General features: G+C 37.2%; 2 annotated features.

Annotated features, from left to right (window-relative positions):
• Positions 551 to 600: an enhancer, noted in NCBI's record as "active region_1165". NCBI's record gives its function as "activates an Ori minimal core promoter by ATAC-STARR-seq in GM12878 lymphoblastoid cells {active_cell/tissue: GM12878}" and the evidence as "EXISTENCE:reporter gene assay evidence [ECO:0000049][PMID:35858748]".
• Positions 611 to 660: an enhancer, noted in NCBI's record as "active region_1164". NCBI's record gives its function as "activates an Ori minimal core promoter by ATAC-STARR-seq in GM12878 lymphoblastoid cells {active_cell/tissue: GM12878}" and the evidence as "EXISTENCE:reporter gene assay evidence [ECO:0000049][PMID:35858748]".

Below are 6882 nucleotides of genomic sequence, written 5' to 3'. Positions count from 1 at the left end.
TTAATAAGTGTAACAATGCATTAAAATTATGTTTATTGTGTGTGTGTGTAATTCATCATTGGATTATAGGTCATTGGATTATAGGTCAGATACTTTTTGAGCCCTGAACATCATAGGCTGTCCTTTTCAAGACATCATATAATGTCCTATTCCATCATAAGAATCTTTCTCCAAAATTCCATGAGAATGACCTGAATCTTGATGTCTCATTCTCCAAGACTCAAGAAAGCACATATATTTGCATTCTCAGACTGATAGCAACTGAATGGTTATCATTCAAGGAGAACTTGTGAAAGCCTCCCCTTCCCCAGAAATGTCCACATCAGGAGCTTGGCGTTTAAGAGGTCTCTATGTTCTGGTATCTGAGCTGTCTGAGGGTCACTTTGGATTACAGATTCAGGAGTGAGAGGGACCTGGTAGTGAAGACCGCAGACTAGAGATGCTTGTAAGAATAACAGGGGGAGAGAGATTTCTGAAATTGGTATATGGATTTTTGTAATTAACATTTGCTATATCCCCAGTGTCTAGTATAAGCTCTGACAAATCAGAGACTTTAGAATAAATCCTTGTCGGTTGAATTAAAAAAATCATGAACCCTTTTTGAGCTTTAGCGACAGTATTGCTTTCTACCACTAGATGGTGGTGTAAAACCACTTTCTCTCTCTCTCAGGCACACAAAATGGCCTTCGTTGTTTTCTGGCCTTCCAAGCAGAAGATTCATCTCCCCAGTCTCAGCTTTTCAAATAATCTCAATCTGGATATCACGCGGCCTTTTCTTTCTGAGAAAAGCTTGAAATCTTTCAGATTCATTCTTGAAAGCTGTGATTTTTCCAGCAACACGTCTACTAATATTTGATTCACACTGGGAAGATTTCTATGGCTGTGACATCCAGAATGCAGATACATCTATGGAGCATGGTTGTTGTTGTTTTGGTCAGAGGTGGCAGTGTAGATTAATTAATGGAAAGAAAAGAAACCAGAAATTGTGAGATTTGGATACCAGACTCAACATCTCTGTGCCTTTCCTCAAATTAAAAATATCCAACTTGGCCGGTGATTTTCAAATTGTTCTCTTGTTCCACAATGACCTAAGGAAACTTCAGAGACAAGTCCAGCTGACAAGGTGTGTGCATGTGTGTGCGTGCATTTGCACATGTGTGTGCACATGTGTGTTTGGTGATTGGAGCAAGTATGAAAGGTTCAGTTATGTTGATGCCCCTCCTAGCCCTCACATTTGTGGTTCTAAGTTCTTTCGTTTTCATGATTGAATTTTTCACCCTGGTCTACTTGAGTGCATACTAAGAGATGTGGGGCTCTGGACCAGCCTGAAAGGAGACCCCTGCAGTCTCTGTTCATCTCCAGCACCCTCCTCTTCTCTCTCCTGGTTCTGTCTTTCTACTGTCTTGCTGAGCTCTTGCTGCCTGGCTCAAATAACTCAACACAGCAACAAGAGGTATTTGGAGAAGGGTTGGAGAGACAGAGTTTTCATGGCAGTGCAATTAATTGAAAAAGAAAAGAGCCAGTTCTTATAATGAGCCTGAGTAAGTACATAAACAGAAACTGAATGTCAAGACTCTCAAACAGGAAAGCGTCACCCCAGCAGGCTGTGCACAGAGGCAGGAACAAAGCCCACAGAGGCAGGAACAAAGCCCACAGAGGAAGAAACAAAGCACATAGAGAAGAGGGTCGCAAAGATGGACAGGTGGGACCATGAAGTTAAACAGCTCCACGAGCATGCTTTGAGTGTCTACTATGTGCTGGGCTCTAAGGATATGGAAACAAATGTAAGGAAATCTTAGGAATTGGGAGAGAGGTTCCAAACTAGAGAGCTACCAGGCCCTATTTAAGTGCTTTGACAGTAGGAGGGACAGAGTGCCAGGAAAATTCAGAGAAAAGGTACCAAATTTAGTGTTGGTGGGTTTGGGAGACTCCCTGAAGGAACTAATGCACAGAAAAAAAAAGGAAAGGAAAAGAAAGGAAAGGAAAGGAAAGGAAAGGAAAGGAAAGGAAAGGAAAGGAAAGGAAAGGAAAGGAAAGGAAAGGGAGGGGAGGGGAGGGGAGGGGAGGGGAGGGGAGGGGAGGGGAGGGGAGGGAAGGGGAGGAGAGGGGAGGGAAGGGAGAAGGGTGGGAGGGAGGGAGAAATAAAGAGAGAAAGAAGAAAAGTTTGTATGAGCTTAAAATTGTCTCTCTAATCCTTCTCCAAATACCTCTTTCCTGATGCTGACGTGTTGACTTATTTGGGCCAGGCAGCCAGAGCTCAGGGTGACATTAGAAAGACAGCACCACGGGAGGGAATAGGAAGGTGGTGGGGGTGAGCAGAGACCTGCATTCATTCTTAGCTAAAGGGTTATCTCTTTTCAGGAGAAATTTTTATCAGACTTCTTTAATATATATTTGGTAGTTGGTTTTATACAATTATGTAGTATTAATAGCTACTCTTCGTTAAGTTCTAAGCATAGTTCTAGGCAATTTACATACAATTCCACATTTAATCCTCACAACAATCCCTTGAGCTAGGCAGTAGTATCAAGATCTTTATGTTGAAAACTGTTTTATGGAAAATTTTAAGCTCACACCAACTTTCTTTCCTTCCTTCCTTCCTTCTTTCCTTCCTTCCTTCCTTCTTTCCTTCCTTCCTTCCTTCTTTCTTCCTTTCCTTTCTTTCTCTCTCTCTCTCTTTCTTTCATCTCCATTTTACCCATCACCCAGTATGAAGAGTTATCAACTTGGAGCCAATTGTGTTTCATCTAGGCCCCCCACACTTTCAGATGTCAGTAGTATGTTAAAGCAAATTCCAGATGTCTTGTCATTTTATCTGTACATCACTCAATATGTTAATCTAAAATATAAGGATACTTCGAAAAATGTGAACACGAGTCTACTTTCAGGGAAGGTGGAGTAGCAGGGATTGAATTTATCCTCCTGCCTGAAACAACAACAATAACAACAAAAGAAAAAAAAATACGTGAAAGAGTTTTTGAAGTTTCTAGACATCAGGCAATGAGGGACAGTGACACCTGAAGCAAGCAAGTTGAAGCCATTGCCAGAGCTTATTGCCTTGAGGAAGTCCAGGTGTGACCAGGGAGGAGGAACACAAGAGGAGCCTGATGGACTTCCAGAGCAGGGCTTTGTGAAAATTAATAATTTGATTATAGAATTCAAATGGAAGTGCAAATGACTTGGAATAGCCAAAACAACTTTGAAAAAGAAGAGCAAACTTGAGCCTGGGAGGTCAAGGCTGCAGTGAGCCATGATCATGTTACTTCACTCCAGTCTGGGCAATAGAGGGAGGCCCTGTCTCAAAAATAAACAAAATTAGAAGAGCAAAGTTGGAGGAGTAGCCTTACATGATTTCAAGACATTATACAGCAAAGACATGGAACCAATGCAAAAGCCCATGAATAGTAGACTAGATAAAGAAAATGTGCTACGTACACACCATGGAATACTATGCAGACATAAGAAGAATGAGATCATGTCCTTTGCAGGAACATGGATGGAGCTGGAAGTCATCAACCTTAGCAAACTAACTCAGGAACAGAAAACCAAATACCTCATGTTCTCACTTATAAGTGGGAGCTAAATGAGGAGAGCGCATGGACACATAGAGGGGAACAATACACACTGGAGCCTACCTAAGGGTAGAAAGTGGGGCAAGGGAGAGGAGCAGGAAAAACAACTAATGGGTATTAGACTTAACACCTGGGTGGTGAAATAATCTATACAACAAACCCCTCTGACATGAGTGTACCTATGTAACAAACTTCCACATGTATCCCTGAACTTAAAAGTTAAAAAAATGACTTATAAAGTTACAGTCATCAAAACAGTATATGGTATTGGTGTTAAGATAGGCAAGTAAATCAGTGGATCAGAATAGAGGGTCCAGAAATAAACTACACACACACACACACACACACACACACACACACACACACACACACACATATATATATATAGAGAGAGAGACAACTGATTTCTAGTGAAGGTACAAAGGAAATTCTATGGAGAAAGGATGATCTTTTCAGCAAATAGTGCTGGAAAAAATGAATAGTTGTATGCAAAAAATGAAGCTTGATTCATAATTTGTACAATAAACAAAAATGAATTTAAATTTAAAACCTAAAGCTGTGAAACCTCTAGAACATAGGAAACTTTTGTGACTTTGGGTTAGGCAAAACCTTCTTAGATATGACATCAAAAACACAATTCACCAAAGAAAAAAAATTAAAAATTTGGACTTCATCAAAATTTAAAATTTGTACTCCTTAAAAAACACTCCAAAGAGAATAAAAAGACAATCTACAGGCTCACAGAATATGTTTTGCAATGATAGAATACTTGATTATATATAGAGATTGAGTATTCCTTATCCAAAATGCTTGGGACCAGAAGTGTTTCTGTGAGATTTTTCAGCTCTTGGAATATTTGGACATATATAATGAGATATCTTGAGGGTGGGCCCCAAGTCTAAACATGAAATTCATTTATGTCTTATGTGTCTCATACATACAGCTTAATGGCAATTTTATACAATATTTTTAATAATTTTATGCATGAAACAAAGTTTGTGTACATTGAGCCATCAGAAAGCAAAAGTGTCACTATCTCAGCCACCCAGGTGGACAATCTGTGGTTGTTTGGCATTACATCATTCCTGACTCTGCACTTATATGCTGCTTATCAGCAATCAATTTCTTACACTTACTTGCACATAGGTACTTAATAACAAAAATTATGACTTATCATTAACCCAATAATGGAACACTAAGCATGTGGGAGTTATTTATATCCTACTGCTCAAGGTCATTGCCAAGGTCTGAGTGCAAAAATTCAAAAAAATGCAACCTCAGGCATAAATGGGTTAATACAGTGAAAGAAATAATGTGTTCAGGGTAACGGAGCGACACAGTAGCTCCTCCAGAATACCTGTATTAGCTGTTAAACAACAGCAACAACAAAGCCAGGCTTTCAGTCTCTAACTGTAAAGCTGTGTTTTGATTAAAAGGTTATTGTACACTGTATTCTACATTTTTAGGTGAGAAGAAACTTTAGAGCAATTGAAGGAGCAGGAAGTGGAACCTCCAGGGATGAGGAGGCATTCTGCTGGATGGCTTTTAAAAGTGTTTTCTCCAGTCATCTGCTCCACTGACAACAGTTTTGTCTTAGAACTTTTTCTTTGATTTTATTAACTGACATGATGCCTTGCTCTAGAATGCACAGTGTTCTAATTTCTTCATAAGCCCGTCATACATTTTCACCATGTCATCTATAGGCACTTTCTCTGTAATGTTTAACCAAGTCCTTTATGCCCTCTCTCTCTATATATATATATAAATATGTATGTATATATATACACACCCATATACATACATGTACATATGTGTATATACACATATATATGTATATATTTCTGGACCACCTATTCTGATCCACTGATTTATTTGCCTTTCTTAATGCCAATGCCATATACTGTTCTTGATGACTGTAACTTCATAAGTTTTTTTTTGCTTTTATTTTAAGTTCAGGGGGACATGTGTACATGTACATATATGTACACATATACATATATACGTATATATACATACACATATACATTTATACACATATATACGTATATATGTATATATACACATATATACATATATGTATATATACACACATGTACCCTCTATATGTACACACACATATATACACACATATGTGTATATTAGCATTCTCTATATACACACATATACACATATGTGTATGTGTATAAATTCTTATATATGTACCATACATATGTGCATATATATACATACACAATGCACATATGTATGTATATGTATGCATGTATGTATACACAATTATACATATAAGAACACATATATGTATAAGTATACATATATGAACACATATACGTATAAGTATGCATATATGTACATATATGTATATGAGGGAGATATATAGTGTGTGGTGTGTGGAGTATATATACATATATGTATATTATGCACATATTCACATATGTGTGTATATGTGTATATACATGTATATTTATGTGCATATATACATATGTATGTATATGCATGTATATGTGTGTATATATGTATGTATATATGTTTGTATACAAATGTATGCATGTTTATACCACCACTCACTCTCTCCCTATATACACATGTATACCTATGTGTACATATGTGTATATGTATAAGTATGTACATATATGTATACAAACTGATACATGCATACATGTATACATACATATACATATGTATATACATAAGTGTACATTCCTATATGCACATATATGTATACATACTTATAAGTGTGTATGTGTATATATATATAGAGAGAGAGAGGTGATATATATAAACAGTCATTCATCTGCTACCTAATAATGGTTCAGTCAATGACCACACATATGACATTGGTCTTATGAATTATAATGTTGTGTTTTTGCTGTATCTTTTCTATGTTTAGATACATAAATACCTACCATTGTGTTACAATGGCCTACAGGATTCAGTACAGTAACATGCTGTACAGGTTTGTAGCCTAGGAGCAATAGGCTATACCATACAGCCAAGGTGTAAAGTAGGCTATACTACTTAGGTTTGTGTAAGTTCACTTTACAATGTTTGCATAATGATGAAATCACCTAATGATGCATTTCTCAAAATGTACCCCCATTGTTAAGAAATCTAGGACCATATATATATCTATATATATAGATATAGATATAGATATATACACACACATATTCAGTGCACTTCATCAAAGCAGTTGTATGTATGGATAATAAGACCTAGAAAAGATGATTAAAATCATCAATGATTAGATAAGACCTAGAAAAGATTATCAAAATCACCAATCAGCAATGAAATGCAAATTAAAACCACCATG

Source organism: Homo sapiens, chromosome 1, assembly GCF_000001405.40.
Source record: "Homo sapiens chromosome 1, GRCh38.p14 Primary Assembly".
NCBI lineage: Eukaryota > Metazoa > Chordata > Mammalia > Primates > Hominidae > Homo > Homo sapiens.
The sequence above is the reverse complement of the archived record's forward strand: the minus strand, read 5'-3'. Positions and strand labels throughout refer to the sequence as shown.